We start from the raw sequence: 23,574 nt of genomic DNA on the forward strand, positions 1-23,574 counted from the left end.
GTACAAACTGCCCCAGATTAACATTTAATACCCAAACTGATAATACAGAAACTATGTCAGACCAGAATTAGAATGAATTAACCAATTTATTCCCCCAATGATCATATTAGAAATGGCATAACTGGCAAAATCATACAATCACTGGCTTACATTCTTTTTCATTTGAGATTTACCAAGCAGCATGACCTGAGATGAACATTATATTGCAAATTATTTATTTGGGAGGGAAATCGGGAAATACCTGTAGGGGAATGTGGAAATGAGACAGGAAGAAGGCAGACAATAAAATGTTCACTGTCCAGCAAGTTGCCACCATGAATGAAAAAAAAAAAAAAATCCTTTATCTTGCTGAGGAACTCTGGAATTCAGTGTGGAACATCTGACTCAGAGTTATCACACCTGAAGGGCAAGGCTGCTGAGGCTATAAAGACTTCCATTTGTCCTTGGTTGAGAGCTGCTTTGCCAGAGTTGCTAACTCCCTGGTACTTCTGGCTTGCTGCAATAGTTGATAAAGAGGGCTACAAAGCCTAGAGGAACTCAGGCAAATAAATGTAGGTGCTAGCAATTGGGTATCTGCCCAACATACACTGAAGTGGTAAGGTCATGGAACATAGGTAAGATACTTAAAATATCTAATATCAAGATGTAATGAAATCATCAGCCAAATAGATAAAATGGTAGAAATGACAGCAACAAAAACTAATAAAGCTACTAATATGCGTGATACGTAAGTGGACTGTCCTGCAAATAATTCAGAAGTTATCATTATTCTTACCTTCCCTTTGTCTCCTAGACATATCAAGTATTCATTCTGTGATTCTGTGAACTCTCACAACATTTTATTCTCCTCAACCACCATTTACCAAACTTTATTTTTATTTTATTTATTTTAACTTCGTATAATTGTCTACATTCTTCTGTAGAAAATAAGCTCCATAAGTAAAGGGAGAGAATGAAACTTGCTCAATGTCCTATCCCAGTAATTAACAGTGCCTACCACGTAGTAGGTTCCTTGTAAATATATGGTGAATGAGTGAGTCAATAAGTGCTAAATGTATTTTGCAATGCCATTCTAAAAGAAATATAGGTCAGTGTTTTTAAAATGAAATATATATTAAGAGCCTACATTAAAAATGTCATTAAGTAATATTCATATGTTGCATTAATGCAACAGAAATAGCATTCGTTTCACTTATTTGTTTAATATATAAACCATACCCACTTAGTGGAAATTATTTTAGAGATTTATAGTTTCACGAATTATTTTTAGTTTAAACAATCCACTGGTATTTTGAGAAAGTTACTAAAAGTTTGTCATTGTGATTTTAGAATTTAACCTCTGATACAATGTGATAGCACATACTTTTGATTTAATTTTTCTTTTCAAACTTAGATAAAAATGTTCTCAACCTGAAAGAAGAAAAATACTAAACAGTGAATATTTTATGATATCTAGCTGACGTTATTTTAATGAAAGAATAAACTCTCAGGAAAAGCAAAGGAAATTGGCAGAGCCATTTATTAGCACTTAGCCAGACCTTGATAAAGAATGTTTAATGGTTCATATTGTGCATAACACTGACTTATTCTAAAATTTTTGAAAGTGCTTTGATATGGTAAATGTGTTAATAAATGTTTCAGGTTTAGGTGAATAAAAGGTGTCCTATTTGGGTGATTCTGCCTATTGTATTTCTTTTGAATAATTTGAAAGAATATGTATGTTAGTTTTTAAGGTTGTGAACAGTAGATTAGTTGCTTATTTGTAAGAAGGAGTAGAAGTATGGAGGGAAGATTAAAACTCAAGTTTTCAAAATATATATATATATACATATATAATATAATATAATATATAGGAGATATATATATATCCTTTCTCTTGAAAAGCTTTAAAGATTTGACTTTGATAAAGTAGAAGCTCTTAAATATTTTTAACTGAAATTTACAGTTAAACATATAAATATTTAAAACAGAAAGTGTGTTTTAATCATGTGTACTAACTTCAAAAAGTTGACTTATTTGACAGCATTTTAGGTTTTCCATAGTTCTAGAGATCTTATTGGTTTCCTTAAGTAAAGAAATATGACAAAATGCAATGTTCAATGTCATAAGATAATACAGTTATTAGCAGGGCAGATCCAAAACATATTTTGCCATTCTTTCCCCACAGCCTTGTTACATGAACAATTCATTTTTGTGCCTTATATGAGCAAAAATCTATACCAAATTTAGTTAAAGGTCCAAATCTAGACCATGTAGTACATGGAGTTGAGGAACTTAACCTCTACTTGTTTATTTAACATTTCTCAATGGCAAGTTAATATATCTAATAATGAGCTCATAATCTGTCTTTAAACCTACTTATTTTAAAGCTTTCAGTGTCCTACTAAATGGTACCACCAAGTACAGAGTTATGCCAAAACCAAACTCAGGAGATACCATGACCTCTTTCTTGCCTCACCCTACCTTCAATCTAAAGTGAAGGTACCATGACATCTTTCTCCTGATTCTGACCAATTCTCTCCATCCTGATGGCCATTCACCATACCAAGCCAAACGACTTTAAAACATGTGGGTCAAAAAGAGTAACATATGGAGAAAAATAAGCTGGATAATTTTAGATTTTCATTATCTTCTCACATCATCCCACATCATTCTTAACATCACCAAATCATGTTAAAAAATTCTAATACTATTGTTGTATATATATTTATATTTACATATACATACAGTATTAATCAAATTCCTTACACTTTAAATAAAAATATACTACTATAATAATCCAGAATTGAAAAATTGTACTATATGGAATTCCTATAGCACAAGTTCAACTTCTCAGTCTTTTGAAATCATTGACTAAAATGTAACTTTGCTAGACATTGAATGAATGACAGGTTAAATTCCTTTTGGCTCCCTCATTGGAGATGTAATCACTCACCTTTGTAGCTGCCATATATCATTGATTAGGAGGAATCAAAATCATTGCTAACTCTGGAATATCAACATCAAGAGATTAATCAAATTCTGCAAACCCACAAAGATGGTCAGAAAACTAATGATTTTCCTGAACTATTAGGGATAGACTAACTTTGAATGAATTAAACTGATGAGTATAGAGAGAAGTAGGATGCTGTTCAATATATTTAGGGTGGTTTTTCTAAAGCCTTAAGAAGAAATAGCTTATCTGTATTAAAGCTAGACATTTTAGATTTTACATTTCTAAGTTAGCTGACTCATAATCATTCTGATTTATCATAGATCAGTTATTTCAATAGCCACTCAATCAGTGCTGACAATTACAGCAGAATGAATTCCATAATTATGGATTCGTGTAGTACACTATTGCTTCAAGAGGGAAATTACAACTTAAACTTTGCTGTAAAAAAAGATACAAAGAATAATTAAATGCTTCTCATATAACCTCTAAAAATTTTACTTTCATTTTTGATAAAAATGTTAACAAATGAATGGATGGATAAAATTTAGTCTAGAGCCAGCACCACTACTATTCCAAAAGGTATGTTTGTAACATATTAATCCATGTGTTCTATTTCTGTAAATCTAATTCTGTAAATTGACTAATAGTTTACAATGTTATTTTTAATAGAAAATATTTATAAGTAAATATGAATTTTCATATATATAAACACATATTTAGGAGAAAATCGTGTCTGCATATGGATTCAATGGTTTTTTTTTTTGTTTTGTTTTGATATATGGATGTAACTTAGTAATGGTAGTGTTGATAATTCTCTATAAAAGAAAAATCTGTTTATTTTCCCATAGTACCAAAAAATAACTTTCATTTTTCCTTGAATTATAATTCACTATTTTACTTTAGAAATTGACTATTTTCTTTACATATTATATTCCAATTTGTTTATTCTTTTCTAAAGTTATTAGATATTCTTGTCTCAGAGACCACTTTTTACTCCAATAAGAAATCAAAGAGAAAGCATAATTTCAACTGGCAAGTGACACATTCTTATTACATTCTTGCATTTTCTTCCATATGCTACTTTCCTCTAGGATTCTTGTAAAGAAATCCTGATGGAAAATAGACGAGAAATGTCAAGTGGAACATCTTGATCTCATCTGGCTTTGGTGAACTTTAAAACAACATAGGTCAAAGTATGTTTCGCTCCCACTTTAGCTTTATGCTTGAATCATTTTATTCCATGTGCATATAACCTTTTACTTAACAAATGCTTGCTTAGACCCATAGCCAGCTTTTTACGATAACAATGCCTATGCTTAGTTTTTAGAAGAATTTAAATGGATAATGAGGTTACAGATTTAAAAATACTGTAATTTTAACATTTAAATAAATTGTTAGTCATGTGAGGAAGAATGAAAGTATAACTAGTCATTTTTGAGATAAGTTTTCACAAAGTCACAGAAATTTATCAGAACTATAAAGTTATCAAAAATCATGACACAGAAAGTTTTGGTATTCTTAATCCATTAATTCACCATATTGTTATGGGACACTTACTCTTTGTCAGACAGTATTGTAGGCTTGGGAGATACAATGGTGAACAAGACTGTTCCTGGTAGAGTTTACAGTGTTGTCGATATAAAAAAAGAGGTGAGTATAATACAGTTTTAGAAAGACCAACCATTTTATTGAACCGCAGTATATATGGTATATGACACAAGTTAAAGCAATTGGATCTCTTTCCTGTAATATTTCTAATCAGACTTACTTTGAGGGAAATTAGTTTTTGCTTCATTGCTCATATAGTTTAAATATTTTCTCCAGATCTGTCAGTGGCTATGTTCGTCACAAGAACGAATGAAAAAAATCCAGAGAGACAGTTCAAAAGTTTGCCACAGCATCTGTGATTCTTCTCTTTTTGATTTGGAAAACTTGAAATAAATCATGCTTCACCATCAAACTTATTTATAGTTTGGGGTCAATATCTACTAAGAATCCTGTCTACATAGTTACTTTTACAGCAGTGGCAATATTATACAAATGTATTACTTCCTTCTAGAAGTGCTTACATAGGCATTTTGATGGCAAATATTTGGATTGACCTATACTGGAATTTTGTCAGGTGGGGATTAGAGTAAACGAATGTCATGAAATTGAGCTACAGGAATTAGCAAAGGAATAAAGGACTGCAGTGGATCACATATTTTTCAGTAATTCCTCTGTAGTAATTTATACATCTCTTTCTTCCATATTTCCAAAATTTTATTATTCAGCTATGGAGCATTTCTACAGTAGTATTAATAAACTATCTTTTTTCCCCTTCAAGCATGTTCTTAATGTTTTCTCCATCTCCTTGGTCCAACAACAACCTGGTCCTGCCCTGCAGATACAGCTTTTCGTAAAGCCCTTTCACTGGTATGTTAACCATTTTCTAAAGAGAAAGGTGGGGAGAGACACCCTGTATAATGTGTACCACCACATATCAATCAAAATTACCATGACAAGAATACCAAGGTAATTTTAAGGGAATACTTACTTCATTTGTGCTAGGCACTGCTCTATAATCATCTCATATATACCTTACTTAATGCTAAAGGCAGTCTTTGGGATAGCCTCTAGTTTCATTTGTATTTTATAAACAATAAAAAGTGACACAGCTGGAACTACTTTTTTCAAGCTACTGGCTTCTACATCAGAATCCCTGTGAATATAGTTTGAAATGCTGATTTATTAGTGCTCATCCCTGACCTGCTGTCCAAGATTCTCTGAGGTTGTGGGATGAAAAAGTCTGAATTTTCTGCAAATTCCCCAAGTAATACTAATGCCTCCTAAAGTTTGAGAACCAGTCAGCAAGTTCAAGAGATAGAATTTTAGCCCAAATTTTTTTCAGTAAATCTGAAATCTGGCACTCTTAATATTTATAATAATACAAAATATTATATTTTAACATGAATATCATGGTGTTTGGGTGATTGATGCTCAAGGAATTTAATTTAGGGAATTTGTGATTTTTTCGATCTTTTACATGTTAAAAATAATTTGTATTTGTTTCATCCACAGGAATCATGTACTTTTAGAATACCTAAATTGTTGTATATTTTCAAGGATACTCTCCAAAATGTCTCACTTGTTTAAACAACAGATGGATTATGAATGTTCATAAGTTTACAAACAGTGAATATTTAATGTTCAGAAGTTGATCCAAGCTTTTGCAATCAGATATGGTTGGTGTAAAGTAATAAAAATTATATTTGATTATATTTAATTTTTGCCCCAAAATTTATTTTTGATAAATTTTCCATTTAATATGAGCTTTTAAATTTAAGCATATTATCTCCTTTTTTTTTTTTTTTTTTTTTTTTTTTTTTTTTTGAGACGGAGTCTCGCTCTGTCGCCCAGGCTAGAGTTCAGTGGCGCAATCTCGGCTCACTGCAAGCTCCCCCTCCCAGGTTCACGCCATTCTCCTGCCTCGGCCTCCTGAGTAGCTGGGACTACAGGCGCCCGCCACCACGCCTGGCTAATTTTTTTTATTATTATTTTTAGTAGAGATGAGGTTTCACCGTGTTAGCCAGGATGGTCTCAATCTCCTGACCTTGTGATCCCCCCGCCTCGGCCTCCCAGAGTGCTGGGATTACAGGCGTGAGCCACCACGCCCAGCCACTATCTCCGTTTTTTAAAGAATCATGTTGATAATATTTTTAAATGAACTTTTTGCTTTCTTTTTGATTCATGGTCATTTTGATAACTCAACAATTACATTGGTGTCAACAATGTGACACAGCAATTTCCTGGAGCCTTTGCAGTGAACAGGACAACCTCAATGCCCCATGTAATTTGTTTCTTTTACACTTTTACAGATAGAGAAATCAAAACCAACTTCTTTGTAACTGTATCTAAAATAACAGTTTAAAAGCTTAGAGCAAGGACTTTTGCAAATTACATTAATTAATCCAGCCTGTACAATTGCTTAGGGACTCTAATTTTTCCTAGCTTTTTTTTGTTATTCTTCAATCCTTTTCTATATTTAGTTGATGAGTAGATAAAGAGGTGAAATATAAGAATAATAGGAATACATTAGCAACCTTAAGAAAGGGAGCCTTTGTTAAGATAAGAGTGTGCTTGTAGAGTATAAGTGGTTATTTATTTTTGATTCATCTCATTTCTCTTTAGCATCCAACCAGAACAAGCTCTTTCTTCCCATTTTTCTTATGCCGAAACAAGGCAATTGAAACATCACATACTAACAATTCCTCATAGTCTTAAAATCTTTTATTTCTTATCCTCTATTGAGTGCTGATGACAAGCCATGAGAAGCTCTAGGGAAATTATTGCAGGTGGTGGCTCTGGCAAGGGAAAGGAGCATTGCTCCTAAATAGTGGACTGATCCTGATTGCATGCCTTGTATTAGATGATCCCCAGTCTCAGCAGGATTTTCAAAAGAGATTATTGACTTACTGCCCCAATGTCTCAAGCCAACAACCTGTAAATCATATGACAGAGACCATGGGAAGCTTATTTCTTTGGACAGAAAAAGAATTCAGATTCCCTCAAAGAAGATTAAAACTCCAATTATTGATTTTTGAGATAGCCAAAATTAATAGAAGTTTCTCACCTTCTATTCAGTCAAAACTCAAGAGACATCAGCTGCTGAAAATTTTCCTACTTCTAAAATTCTAACTGTAGAACAAAACATGTTATTTTTTACTCCAAAAGTTAAACCCATGTTTGTTTTTATTAATTTGATTTTGTTCATTATGATTTATACACTATTCTTAAGGAAAACAAATTACGGATACATTCGGGGCATTTTGGTAGAGTTTTTCTAAAATTCAAATTAGTTTCATGAAAATTTATATTTATTGGGCTTAGTTTTCTAGGTGGCTTCTGAGGCAATATTTTGCCATCAATAACTGAAAGAGATGTGTACATGTGGTGTTTTGTTATTGGTTAGTTTAATAGTTCATTGGCTAATATTTGAATTGTATGTGATAGGTAAGTAGAGTTATAAATATGACAAATATTCATATACCTCATGACTACCTGTCTCTTCCAATCTGAGAGCATGCTCCCCAAGTCCTTTTATTATTCAGTTCACCTTAATCTTTATGTTGCATCAAGAATTCCCAAGTACCAATAACCTAGGGTTACTCACCAAGTAGTCCCTCACCTTGTCACAGATTACAAAGAGATCAGTTTTGAATGCAGCAAAACATTACTGCAAATCCTTTTCCATTTACACATTTGAAAAGAAAAAAAGAATTCAGAAGTAGAATCTGAAGTGAGGTTGCATGTACTTATAAAGCATTTGACTCCTTTGTGCTTCCACAATGTGCATATCCTGTCTTTCTGTTACCAGCTTCCTTCAGTAAAAACTTTTTCTATTTTATCTTCCTCTTTCTTCATTTTATGAATCACGCAACATGTATTCAAGTAAAGGCAAAAGTCAACAATTTGAGGCATATTTGCTGTTTATGAGAATCCATAGGATTTAAAATACATTTACAGAGTTATTGTATTAACTTGATAGCAAATGCCTAGGATTTGCAATAATTGTAGATAATTCTCCTTTGTCAGAAATTTATTTATCATTATTTATTCTCCCAGCTGACCAATTATACTATAGGCTTGGGGCCACGGTGAATTTGATCATAGAAAATGTTCATTTTTCCCCTCATTTAAATTGCTATTAGTAATGCTTCAATTAATATTTATCAATTAAAGTCTATGTATTAACAGGCACTCTCAGACATTATAGATCTAATTATAAATGAGATATATTAGTTAAATAAAATATATATTGGGAGGATATAAGACAGACAACTAACCCAGGAAGCAGGGATCCAGTAGTCTTCCTCAAGAAGATGCATATATATAGACTTGAAGAATAAGCAATAATTAGTCAGAAAAATGGTGGGCATAATGTGTGGGGAGAGACAGAATGTCAGTCAGAATAGGTTGTGTTTTATTGTAGTAAATAACAAATGAATATATACCCTAAAAATCTCAGTGGTTTAAACAACAAAATTGATTTATTGTTTACACTGTATTTTCATAAGAGCACTTCCAAAGGACTTATAATTATGATCATCACTCAGAGACCAAAGCAGATCAAGGCTCCAGCTTGACATGTTCTTCTACAGTCAGAGACACAGTGTAAAGAAAACCTGGAAATGTCAGACACTAGTTTTACTCATATAGTCACTTTTATTCATATTTCATTGGCTAAAGTAAGTCACAAGGCTTACTTTTGTGGAAGTATTGGAGTATAGATGTATATATTCTTTTCCCACACAGGGACAGAACAGTTGTGAAAAATAATACACACTTTCTACATAGATATCTAACTGAAAAACCTTCAAGTACAAAGTTCCAGAAATAAGAACACGTGGTGGCAATTTTTCAAAGGAGGCAGCAATTAATTGATTAAAGATAATATTTTGACTGTTACTTTGGCAAGATATGAGACTGGAGAGATAAGCAGAAACCAGATAATAGAGGACCTTGTCACCACCTTGAATTTTATCTTGAGGAAAATGTTAAAATTGATTAGAAATCATCTCATACACTTTCTTCCCAAGTCACATAATTTGAGGCTCTTACTTGAAATTATGAGACCACTACAATGACCACTTGCAAATCTTATAATCCTTCAGCTTAGGTATAAAGAGCATGTGTGCGTGTGTGTGTGTGTGTATTATCTGAAATACATAAAACAGTAAAATTATATGTCCTTGAGTAAAATTAAATTTTATACTATCTGCATTAAACATGTAGTAGTTTTTCAGTTGTCTTTTGCTTAGTTATTTTAGCAGATCGTAAACAGAACAAGCAGCCTGTTCCCTAGGCTTCATTATTTTATAAGCCCTCATTATTACTCCTATTTTTCTCCTTCCTGAAGGAAAAGAAAAGGTGGTTATAAAACATTGTTAATTTCACAAATGCAGTTAAATGCATGATCTACTAGGCTCATAATACCTATTGCATTCCATTTTAGAACATGTTTACCAAAGAACCCTATGTATTTTTGCAGTACTTTATAGAAGCCAAGCATTTTTAAATCACAAAGCGGACTATATTGTTTCTATACACACATACACTTAACATTCAAACTTTTGGTTTGATAGTTCAAAATTCTATTATTGAAACTATCAATGAATACTTTAAACTGGACTACATGATAACATTTAAAATTCAATTGATTGTGAATAAAATTTATATTTTATTTTGTTACAAAACATCAGAAAACCTGGCCACTCAAGACTCACAATTTAGCAAGGTATTAGTTTTCTCTTGCTGAATGTTGACTAATCTTCTGGTTGACTTGTCATTTTTGATTATATACATAAATTTCTATTACTTTTCTGACCTGCGTGAATATTTCCATTTGAGATCCAGGTTATTTCATCCTCTTTTTTCTTTAGGACTCCTTCTGGAGTATCTTAAGGAAAATTTCAGTGAAAAATGATTGATTTCCTCAGAATGCCATTTTTTTCATTGTTTGACTATTTTAATTGTTATAGGTATCCCTATTATTCAACCCAGTTTGAATTAAGTTTATCTGAATAAGAAGAATTTAGATGTACAATCACTATCATCAAACATGTGAAAGAAGATCATGTAAAATAAAGATTAGTTATAGATATTCAGAAATGAAGACACAGACTGATGGGTACAAAAACATATTGTGTAAATATAGGAAGTCATTTATGTTTCTGTTAGGATCTGCTGCACAGTAAATCAGCCCAACATGAATAGCTTAAGACAATAACCTTTTATTTAGTTCCCTGTCCAGTTGGTTGGCTGCCTGGTTCATTTGATCTAGGCAACTTAGCAAATCTCTGTTAGAATCATTCATGCAGTGTCAGTCACTACTCTGATGGTTAGTAGACTGTTGGCTACAGCAACAGGAATGACTTTGCTCTCGTCTCTCATCATCCAGCCAACTTCTCCATATGGTAGTCCCCAGGTTCAAATAGTAGGAAGATAGGATTTTGGAAGTTCTCTTGAGGTATTGAATTGAAACATGCACAAAATCACAAAGCAATTTCCAAGGTCAGCCCAGACTAAAGGTGTAGAAAAGTAGATTCGATTCTCAATAGTAAGCAAGCTGGAAATTACTGTGGTTATTTTTAATCTACCAAGCAGCAATAAATTGTTTCTTATTTACCAGAAAAAGTGACTCTCAATAGCAGATGCAAGATCTGGGAAAATGTTTCCTCAGGTAAATTCACCTATGTGTGTATGGTAAGACACTGCTTCTACTCTGCTCATCAGCAAAACACTTATTATCATTTTCATAACTTTCCTAGAATTTTAGTTAACTCTCCAATGATTTGTTTTTCTCTTAAAATTCTGTAAAGTTTACTGTTCCTGGTAATATAACTGTGGAGAAAATATAAATATGTGTGATCTATCAGCCACTATTGAGAGTGCAACCAGCTCTTTCTAACTTCTCTTCTGATTATTTTTTCTATTTAACTCAAGAGTTTTTATAACAAAGTTTTGCTGTGATGTTTTGCCACTAGTTATTTCACCCTTCCCCTGCAGCATTTCAAATTACTTACAGTTTCACAAAAAAGACCACAAAAAAGCCACATATCCCGCTTTATTTTGATATGGACACATAAACTTCACAAAAGCTAGGTGTGTATATAGAATAGAAGCAGATGAAGCATGACGTGACGTATCTGTTTATTTACCCACTAATAGTTTTTAAAGGGTATATAGCTACTGGTTACAGTCTCTGAGTAGGAACTGTTCTGCCAAATTTGAGAAAACATCCTATTGCAAGCTACTGTTTCCAAACTCAGATTTATGCCAAATTTCCAGAAATTTTTAAATATGTTCCCTGCCTATAAAAGAAATGTTTTCTTCTAGATCCTATTTCCATAATCTCTGATTCTGACCCAACAATTTTGTTTTTTTCTGGATTACAATAAACTATTGGTTTGGTCCAAGGTTATGATCACAAATCCATTTCACTGCATTCCCTTTTGACAAATTTAAGATGTAAAAATTAATAGCTTCAGCTTGGGGTAACTCTATTACTGTAGGACTACATGCCCAAATCACTGCATAGTATATCCTCTTTGACATAACCACCCTATGTTCCCGGTATTATCCAATCTATTTCCCGATGACTGCCTTCTTCCACAAGCTGTTTTTTTCTACCAATAACTTCCCAGTTGGTCCCAAACCCTAATTTGATTCCTCTTCCTCATTATATTTCTCAATGAAGTAATTTCTGAATCTTCTTATTCCAATCCTCAAATCAGCCCGTCTATCCTGTTTGCCATTTTCTCTGCCCAATATCCTACCCATCTGGTTTCTAAATTCGTCTTTTGAAAAATTCCGTCATGTTCAGATAAATATATCCATAATTACATTGATTTTATTGAAGCAAAATTCTGATACTTTACTCTTCTCCTTGAAAAACATGCTGATTCATTAGACAAATATAAAATATCCTTGCAGCCAAAATTCAGTTTGACTTTTCTAATATTTTCCACTCTCCCGTTTACCATATGTATAGTGCATCCCCAAATTCCTTTTGTTTACTTCTAAAATTTTTTTTCCTAGGTTTTTTTTTTACCTTTACTTTTATTATAACCAAACCATATGCATCTTTCCAGATCTATTTCCAAATGCTATCCTCCTCAGGAACTATTTAATACATTTATCTATTTCTCTATTCAATGTACTCATCTATTTCATCTGTGCTTCGCCATTATTGATCACTTTTAATGTGGCTATAACTCATTTGTGCATATGACACTATTCCCATGTCAACAAACTGGTTCAAGTTTTACTTCTCCACAATAGAAAGTATGTATAACAGGCAGACAGGTATAGTATTAATTCAATGAGTCAGTAATATAATTCATTAATGGAGTTAACATTCCACATCAGTCTGCTTATCAGTCCCTGTATCCAGTCTATGCTGTATTCTCTTAACAGACAAAAAATATGCTTCATTTCATGCATTAATTATGTGTGTAACACACCCATCACATACTATGCACTCTGCCTTCTGGTTAATGCTTCACTCATATTTTTGAAAGGGCTAAAATACTCCAGTTTATCTACTGCCTTCTCATAATACAGCATGATGAACAACCTATTGTTGTTACATTTTTCCTTGCATGAAATTGTATGAGACTAGTATGTACCTCTGTACACTGAAAAAGATATTTTTCTTGATATAGGATATGATTTCATTAGAATTTTGGTTGTCACATTGCATTGTTAATTTATACTCAAATTACAAACAGCTAATCATCTTTATTATTATTTTATATACACACATATACATGTATACACATGTGTGTGTATACATGCACACAGATATATATATTCACACATATATGAATGTGTGTGTTTGTGTATAAAGAATTGTTAATAAAGATGATCCCATCCTTCTTTAAAGCATTACATTTTACAAACTAAGATAGAGCTACAGGTATCCCAATTTTAGTTTAGGTATGGTTTTCCTTCTATCTTATTTAAAACTTTGTGATATGATATTTTTGGTTATTGTTTCACTTTGTGTCATAATCAGATGTGAAAAGCACACGTGACCATGACTGGATGTTCTGTTCATTGTAGGACCACTGATGTGTAAAGCAATATTGATTTTTTTGGGAAATATTTATGAAAAAGGAACACAGAAATGCAGAAGAAAAACTACTTTTTAAATGGAATGTATTTTATACTACATCTCAGCCCTAAAAACAAGTTTATGCTTTGTAGTTGTTCATTACTTATTGCATGAAATTGAAATAGTATAAAATAGTTATAAAGCTATCTGCTTGCTCTATCAATTACTAAAAGAGTAGTTTTAAAATCTCATGCAATGGTAGTGTTTTAAAAATTTCTCTTGGTCAGCCAATTAATACTTACTTTAAATATTTTGAGACTGTATATTGTATTAATAAAAATATAATAATTATTATATCTTCCCATGGAATTAAACATCATGTCTTTAAGTAATAAGAGATTTACTTTATACAATTAGGCGTTGAGAGTAATTTTCCTTTGAAAGGATATCTTTTGGGTAGTTACTTCCATTTAATTTTATTTTCAGCTCTATTTAGGTTTGACAAATAAAAATTGTATATATTTAAGCTGTACAATGTAATGATTTGGTATACATACACATTGTGAAATAATTACCACAATCATGCTAATTAACATATCTATCATATAGTTACGTGTGTGTGTGTGTATGTATAACATTTAAAATCTACTAGTAGTAAATGTCAAGAATACTACACAATATCATGAACTATAATCATCATGCTGTACATTGGATTTGCAGAATTTATTCATCCTGCATAACTGATACTTTGTACACTTTGTACACTTTGACCAACATCTCCCCATTTTTCCCACCCCTCAACCTGTGGCAACCACTATTCTATTCTGTTTCTGAGTTTGACTTTTTAAGATTTCATGTATTAGTGAGACAATGCAGTATTTGTCTTTCTGTGACTGTTTTTTTTCATATTAACATAATGTGCAGGTTCATCCATATTATCACAGATGGCAGAATTTCCTTCTTTTCAGGGCTAAATAATATTTCAATTTTTATATAGACTTTATTTTATTTATCCACCCTTAAATTGACACTTAGGTTTATTACTTATCTTGGCTATTGTGGCACTAGGGCAGGCCTGAAGACTTCGGTTTCAGGGGCCAGGCTGGAGCCTAGAGCCATGGGTGTTGGCCTGGTGATAATGTTTACAAGGGTGGGCCTTATGCTGGGGTGAGCGACAAAATCAGGTGCTCATTTTACTCCCCTTTACCAACCCAGAGGGTATCTCTCTTCATGCTTGGGATGGGTTGATATAGGTAATGTGAAACTGTTTTTCCCACCCTCTTCAATATGTTTTTTCTTTATTTCTGTACTCCACCAGGAGCTGCAATCTCTTACTTGCATTGCACAGCTTTTGTGAAGGTATATTAGAGTGTGGTTGGTGGTTCAAGCTGATGCTTTTGTCAAGGGACAAACATTGGAAACTCCTATTTCACCATCTTGCTGATGTCATGCCCCAAATAAATATTTCTGACATACCCCTGCAGTTCCCTAATCTTCTCTTCAGCTGTGTATAATCTGCTAGCTAAGCCATTTGTTGGGTTTATATTCATTACAATTATAATTTTTACATTCAGAACATACGTTTGCTTCTTTATTATGTCTACATGTCACAAGCTCATATTTGACATTTTTGCTTTATCTTTGATAATGTTATGTGCATATTTTTCAATTCTATTTTCTATAATTCCATAATCTGAATTGCAAAAGCCTGTTTATTTTCTGATTGTTGACTCTAAGCTTTTTGTTTTTCTTGAAATTTTGTCTAATACTTTGAAGCATGTTTTGAAGTAAAGTTCTGCCAGGGTTGTTTAACGAAACTTCTAAAAGTAACCTAAAGATTACCTTGATTCACATCATTCTAAATTGAATTATCTGAGATTTTAAAAAATTATATGGAAAACATCAATTGAAAATGTGAATGTGATAGGGCATAGTTGTGGTTATAAATCCTGAAAGGGACTTTTTCCTTGCCTTAACACAGTAATAGGTTTTAGATAGGTAATTGTATTTGTTGTATTTCTAGGAATAGTGGAGTTTATTTCTTATACCCTCTTTGGTAAGCTATGTAATGCTATGAGGTCTCATTGTTATGTGGAGGTTCTATTAGAGTCCCTGGCTGTAGTAGGTCTTAGCTTTATCTATTGCTTCAAAACATTTTACAATTGCCTAACAATGGTTATAACTGTATGAATACCTATCTCTAAATTTGCACTGACCTCTCTATATATAGACAAATCAATACAGATCAATATATAGAAATATACATATATAGATATGTGTTCATAGATAGAAGAATATAGATTTCTTTTTATACAAATGCTCATTCACTTTCTTTCTTTCTTTTTTTTTTTTTTTTTTTTTTTTTTGAGACCAAGTGGCGGCGCTCTGTCGCCGAGGCCAGAGTGCAGTGGCGGGATCTCGGCTCACTGCAAGCTCCGCCTCCCGAGTTCACGCCATTCTCCTGAGTAGCTGGGACTAGAGGAGCCCGCCACCACGCCCGGCTAAGTTTTTCGGGTTTTTTTTTGTTTTGTTTTTTTAGTAGAGACGGGATTTCACCGTGTTAGCTAGGATGGTCTCCATCTCCTGACCTCGTGATCCGCCTGCCTCGGCCTCCCAAAGTGCTGGGATTACAGGCGTAAACCACCGCGCCCGGCCGCTCATTCACTTTCAGTGAGGTCTCGTTCCATTAAACCCATCGTAATTTGAAAATATCATAAATTGAAGATGCATTTAATACATCTAACTTATTGAACATCATAGCCTAGCCTATCCTACCTTAAAAGTGCTCAGAACACTTTACAGCTGGGCAAAATAATCTTGCACAGAGCCTATTTTACAATATAGTATTGAATATCTGATGGAATTTATTGAATCCTGTACTCAATATAGTATTGAATATCTGATGGAATTTATTGAATACTGTACTAAGACAAAATGCTTGTGCAGATACTCAAAGTAAGATTTTTACTTAATTTGTATCACTTTTGCACCATTGTAAAGTTGAAAAATTATTAACTTGAACCACTGGAATTTGTGGACCTCCATATTCAAAACTTCATTGTCATTTTCAGTTCTTATATCTCTTCTCTGTCTTTTAATATTTATTACTAATATTATGACACCTAATATGCAGTGATATTCTAACTTAATGCTAAGTATTTAATGTCATTATCTCATTCAATACTTAAAATACCTCCTTGAAGATATTTTATGATGTCTATTTATATGTGAAGTAACTGAAGTTTTAGGTTACATAACCTGCCAAAGATTCCATATCATCTAATTTTCAAAGCTTAAAGTTGAACTCCGCGTATTTTCCACCAAAAGTCAAATAAGTAAGCATGATATATCTGATTTTTAATAATGATATGCTATTTTATTATTAGTTTAATAAGATATTTTTGAGTGCTGATATAAGAATTGAGGACCATGTGTCCTGATGACAGATCCTTACGTTTTAGAATATGATTTACAATAAATCTCTCTGAACCACAGTGGTTCTAACTGTAAAGGAGGAATCAAATGTGTGTGCATTCTTTCATAGGAAAATTGGGGATTTATTTGTTAATTGGCTTTGAGTTCCTAGGATTAAAGGTTTAAGTACTATCTTTATTAAAGATAAAAACTAATTAAAGTTTTAATCTCAAATAATCTTACAATTAAGGGATGTCTCTTAAATTCATGTAATGGTTAATTTAAATAAACTTGATCTGCATAGTTTTGGGTCCCTCTTCTTTCTCCTTTCCTCTGCTATGATTTTCATTCTAATTTCTGTCTTTAGTCAGTGTCAAAATCATTTTCTTATTCTTTTAGTGGAATATTACAAATACAATTTCTCATATTTAGATCGAGAATAATGGTAGTTTAATTTCAATATGGACAACATGCCTATGTTATAAGGATTCTTCAAGCAAGATTCGGAAATCCTAGTCTAATGACTAATCAAATTTTGAAGGAAAAAGTATTCCTACCAAATCAACAACATTATTTCTAAGCAGATCTAGGAAATTATCATTGGAATAATGAAACCACAACAATTATTAACATGGTTCTAGATATTCTCTAGTTGCCCATTACACTACTTTTTATTCCGTATGAGTTTGGGTAGTAAAACAGATTTGGTACTGGTGTTGGATTCACATGAAAAAATTAAAAATCTTTCACATACTAGGATTTTTTTTCTTCTCAAAGAAATTCAACTGTTTATGGAAAAGTACCCATGATATAGAGATTATCTTCCTTAAGGTATTGCACAGTTGCAGAATTCTAAATTAAATGACAACCCCTAATGTGCTTTGATTAAATAAGGTAATTACTAAATAAAATGTCAGAGATATCATTGAAAGGGAACACCCCACTATACATACATATATATATATTTAGACCAAATTTATTGTAGCCAAAAAGGACTGTTAAGCAATTAATTTTGTTTCCACTCTTCCAATAATAACAAAGTTCTAAAATCATATATATAAATTAACATTTATGAAATACTAATTATGACAAGACATATATATCTGATAATATTGTACATATAAAAGAAACATGACACCTACTTCCACTGCTCTTATAACCTAATTTGGGAAATATAAAATAAGTCTTTAAATTCTTACCCTTTTTATTTAAGTAAAGCCTAAAATGACATAGTTGGAGACTTGGAGCTTGTAGAACAGAAACATTTTACTTTTTTATCTTCAGTGAAGGTTTTTTCTATAGAAAAATTGAATTTAAACCTGACATTTTTATAATGGGGAGGATCTGGGCTGCTACTGTGTTTTAGGCCCGAATTAAAGATTCCCTCTTAGGACATAGCTTCTCCAGTGGGTTCCTAGTACTTCTGCCTGGGTGTCCTCCTATACTGTAGTCTGCTTCAATTCAAGTAAGTGCTCATCTTCCTATGTTGGGCCCTTAACACATAGGTTTACTGAATGTTTGGTTTTTATCAACATTTTCATATTTCACTTGTAGCCTTTCTCTCAATGAGCTTTTGAGCTGTTTAAGCCTTATTCCTGAAAGCCAGTGACTTCACATTCACATTCATGTTCAGAACACAGATGGATAAGTCTGTCTATCCAAGCTATCTACCTGATTAGGTCACACGTTCTAAAATTCAACATAAAGAATAAAACTGCAGTATTTATTAGTATAAGTAAAATATGATCTTTTAAATGTTTTGTTTTTAGTATTACTATCATCCACCTTTTTTTCCCCAAGTGAGATAACTGAGATTTTGCTCTGTTTAATTCTCCCCCATGTTCTTTAAATATGATTGATTATCAAGTTTTCCTGGTTAAATGTTATTTGTATTTCTGAATATACACCTGATATGGTTTGTCTCTTCCCACTCAAATCTTATCTTGAATTGTAGTTCCCATAATCCCTATGCGTCATGGGAGGGACCCAGTGGGAGATAATTGAATCATGGGGTCAGTTTCCCCCAAGCTATTCACGTGATAGTAAGTTCTCATGAGATCTGGTGGTTTTATAAGGAGCTTTTCCCCCTTTTGCTAGGCACGTCTCCATCCTGTCATCATGTGAAGAAGGACATGTTTACTTCCCCTTCTGCCATGATTGTAAGTTTCCTGAGGCCTTCCAAGCCATGCAGAACTGTGAGTCAATTAATCTTCTTTCATTTTTAGGTTACCCGGTCTCGGGCAGTCTTTTATAGTAGCATGAGAATGGACTAATACAATACCCTCTAGTTTGTTTCCACACCCACTGCCATATCACAGAACCTCCACATTTCTACTTGTGCTATTATAATTCATTGTCCTCATCTCTTTTGTTGAAGTCATTTTTTCCAGACCAACTTACACTTCTCACAGTATGTTTGTTAATTTAATATTTCTATATAGAGATCTTTTCATATTATCCCCTGTGCAGATTCTTCAATAACACTCTGTCACCTGTTTAAGATTTATTTTCAACTGCCCATGGTTCACCCATGGTTTTTAATTGATGGTAACACATGAGTTTCTTGATTGCATCTGTTGACTTTTTATCTATGCCTTTACTCATGGCTTTAACCTCTACTTTGCATAAATTTACTATGAACCTTGACTCCTGAAAAATTCTAATTTATTTCTTAATTCTTAGTTTAAGCATGCATTACAGTCTGAGTTCATCTATATCTTTTTGGTTAGATTTTATTTTCCATGGAACTCATTTGTTTGCACTTTATTTCTATGCCAAATATTTAGCAAAAGCATTTGGCAATACAGAAGTTATTTATTTTCTATGTATTGAATTAATTTACTAATCAATTGATGACAACAAGTGACTATGTAGACTATTGCCTAGACTACAAGGCAGTACAGATAAAGGCTATAGGTAAAAGAGTAACTTGGATTGGGGTTAAGACAAACCCCAGACACTGGAGCAGCTGAATCAATTGTAAAACAGCTCTGAAAATGCTTCATACATTTTGCAAAGCTCTCATCAGGAAAAATAAACTAAGACAATTTTCTGGAAGTTATACCTAGTAGGTTAGTGTGGGATAGAATGGGGGAAAAAGTCTAATATGGGAAATCACAAAAATGTCCAGAAGAGAGACTGAATCCTCCTGTTCGTGTTCAGCCTGACTAGCCTGCAGCTGAATGTTAAATTCTCTAGCTATAGTTGATCAAACCAAACTATTATCAAACATCCATATAGGTAGATGAAATTGACGGAAGACCTATCAGCACAGGATCAGGAAAACAAAAGGTGTGTATGTGTTCTAAAAAAGAGTAAAATTTATTTAAATTTAGATTGCATACATATGCAGTTCTCATTCCTGGCCTTTCCAATTGGTAAGATACTTTGCTGGGCACTGGATATTAATCAGAAAAAAGATTATCATATTCCCTTACCTGTACACTTTCTTTCAAGTTGGAAGAGACAGTCAATAATACATTAATATACATGGGTATAGTTTTAATTCTAAATAATGATATAATTAAAGACTGCAATATACTGCTTTGTATGGTTTTCATGTGTTCTCTAAAAGTTCATGTGTTGGAAACTTAATCTTACAACAGCATTGGAAGGTAAGGGACTAATAAGAGGTGATGAGATCATGAGAGCAGAGCCCTCATCGAACATAAATGAATGTGGCTATTGCAGGAGCTGTTTGAAAGTGGATTGTTCTCCTCCTGAATGACTACTGGGTACGTAACGAAATGAAGGCAGAAATAAAGATGTTCTTTGAAACGAACGAGAGCAAAGACACAACATACCAGAATCAATGGGACACATTCAAAGCAGTGTGTAGAGGGAAATTTATAGCACTAAATGCCCACAAGAGAAAGCATGAAAGATCCAAAACTGACACACTAACATCACAATTAAAAGAACTAGAAAAGCAAGAGCAAACATATTCAAAAGCTAGCAGAAGGCAAGAAATAACTAAAATCAGAGCAGAACTGAAGGAAATATAGACACAAAAAAACCCTTCAAAAAATTAATGAATCCAGGAGCTGGTTTTTTGAAAGGATCAACAAAATTGATGGACTGCTAGCAAGACTAATGAAGAAAAAAAGAGAGAAGAATCAAATAGATGCAATAAAAAATGATAAAGGGGATATCACCACCAATCCCACAGAAATACAAACTACCATCAGAGAATACTACAAACACCTCTATGCAAATAAACTAGAATATCTAGAAGAAATGGATAAATTCCTCGACACATACACTCTCCCAAGACTAAACCAGGAAGAAGTTGAATATCTGAATAAACCAATAACAGGCTCTGAAATTGTGGCAATAATCAATAGCTTACCAACCAAAAAGAGTCCAGGACCAGATGGATTCACAGCCGAATTCTACCAGAGGTACAAGGAGGAACTGGTACCATTCCTTCTGAAACTATTCCAATCAATAGAAAAAGAGAGAATCCTCCCTAACTCATTTTATGAAGCCAGCATCATCCTGATACCAAAGTCGGGCAGAGACACAACCAAAAAAGAGAATTTTAGATCAATATCCTTGATGAACATTGATGCAAAAATCCTCAATAAAATACTGGCAAAACGAATCCAGCAGCACATCAAAAACTTATCCACCATGATCAAGTGGGCTTCATCCCTGGGATGCAAGGCTGGTTCAATATAGGCAAATCAATAAATGTAATCCAGCATATAAACAGAAACAAAGACAAAAACCACATGATTATCTCAATAGATGCAGAAAAGGCCTTTGACAAAATTCAACAACCCTTCATGCTAAAAACTCTCAATAAATTAGGTATTGATGGGACATATCTCAAAATAATAAGAGCTATCTAGGACAAACCCACAGCCAATATCATACTGAATAGGCAAAAACTGGAAACATTCCCTTTGAAAACTGGCACAAGAGAGGGATGCCCTCTCTCACCACTCCTATTCAACATAGAGTTGGAAGTTCTGGCCAGGGCAATTAGGCAGGAGAAGGAAATAAAGGGTATTCAATTAGGAAAAGAGGAAGTCAAATTGTCCCTGTTAGCAGATGACGTGATTGTATATCTAGAAAACCCCATTGTCTCAGCCCAAAATCTCCTTAAGCTGATAAGCAACTTCAGCAAAGTCTCAGGATACAAAATCAATGTACAAAAATCACAAGCATTCTTATACAGCAATAACAGACAAACAGAGAGCCAAATAATGAGTGAACTCCCATTCACAATTGCTTCAAAGAGAATAAAATACTTAGGAATCCAACTTACAAGGGACGTGAAGGACCTGTTCAAGGAGAACTACAAACCACTGCTCAACAAAATAAAAGAGGATACAAACAAATGGAAGAACATTCCATGCTCATGGATAAGAAGAATCAGTATCGTGAAAATGGCCATACTACCCAAGGTAATTTATAGATTCAATGCCATCCCCATCAAGCTATCAATGACTTTCTTCACAGAATTGGAAAAAACTACTTTAAAGTTCATATGGAACCAAAAAAGAGCCCGCATCACCAGGTCAATCCTAAGCCAAAAGGACAAAGCTGGAGGCATCACACTACCTGACTTCAAACTATACTACAAGGCTACAGTAACCAAAACAGCATGGTACTGGTACCAAAACAGAGATATAGATCAATGGAACAGAACAGAGCCCTCAGAAATAACGCCGCATATCTACAACTATCTGATCTTTGACAAACCTGAGAAAAACAAGCAATGGGGAAAGGATTCCCTATTTAATAAATGGTGTTGGGAAAACTGGCTAGCCAAATGTAGAAAGCTGAAACTGAATCCCTTCCTTACACATTATACAAAAATTAATTCAAGATGGATTAAAGACTTAAACATTAGACCTAAAACCATAAAAACCCTAGAAGAAAAGCTAGGCATTACCATACAGGACATAGGCATGGGCAAGGACTTCATGTGTAAAACACCAAAAGCAATGGCAACAAAAGCCAAAATTGACAAAAGGGATCTCATTAAACTAAAGAGCTTCTGCACAGCAAAAGAAACTACCATCAGAGTGAACAGGCAACCTACAAAATGGGAGAAAATTTTCGCAACCTACTCATCTGACAAAGGGCTAACATCCAGAATCTACAATGAACTCAAACAAATTTACAAGAAAAAAACAACCCCATCAAAAAGTGGGCAAAGGATATGAACAGACACTTCTCAAAAGAAGACATTTATGCAGCCAAAAGACACACGAAAAAATGCTCATTATCGCTGGCTATCAGAGAAATGCAAATCAAAACCACAATGAGATACCATCTCACACCAGTTAGAATGGCAATCATTAAAAAGTCAGGAAACAACAGGTTCTGGAGAGGATGTGGAGAAATAGGAACACTTTTGTACTGTTGGTGGGACTGTCAACTAGTTCAACCATTGTGGAAGTCATTGCAGCGATTCCTCAGGCATCTAGAACTAGAAATACCATTTGACCCAGCCATCCCATTACTGGGTATATACCCAAAGGACTATAAATCATGCTGCTATAAAGACACATGCACACATATGTTTATTGTGGCACTATTCACAATAGCTAAGAATTGGAACCAACCCAAATGTCCAAGAATAATAGACTGGATTAAGAAAATGTGGCATATATAT

The sequence above is a fragment of the Homo sapiens genome, chromosome 4 (assembly GCF_000001405.40).
Source record: "Homo sapiens chromosome 4, GRCh38.p14 Primary Assembly".
Classification (NCBI taxonomy): domain Eukaryota; kingdom Metazoa; phylum Chordata; class Mammalia; order Primates; family Hominidae; genus Homo; species Homo sapiens.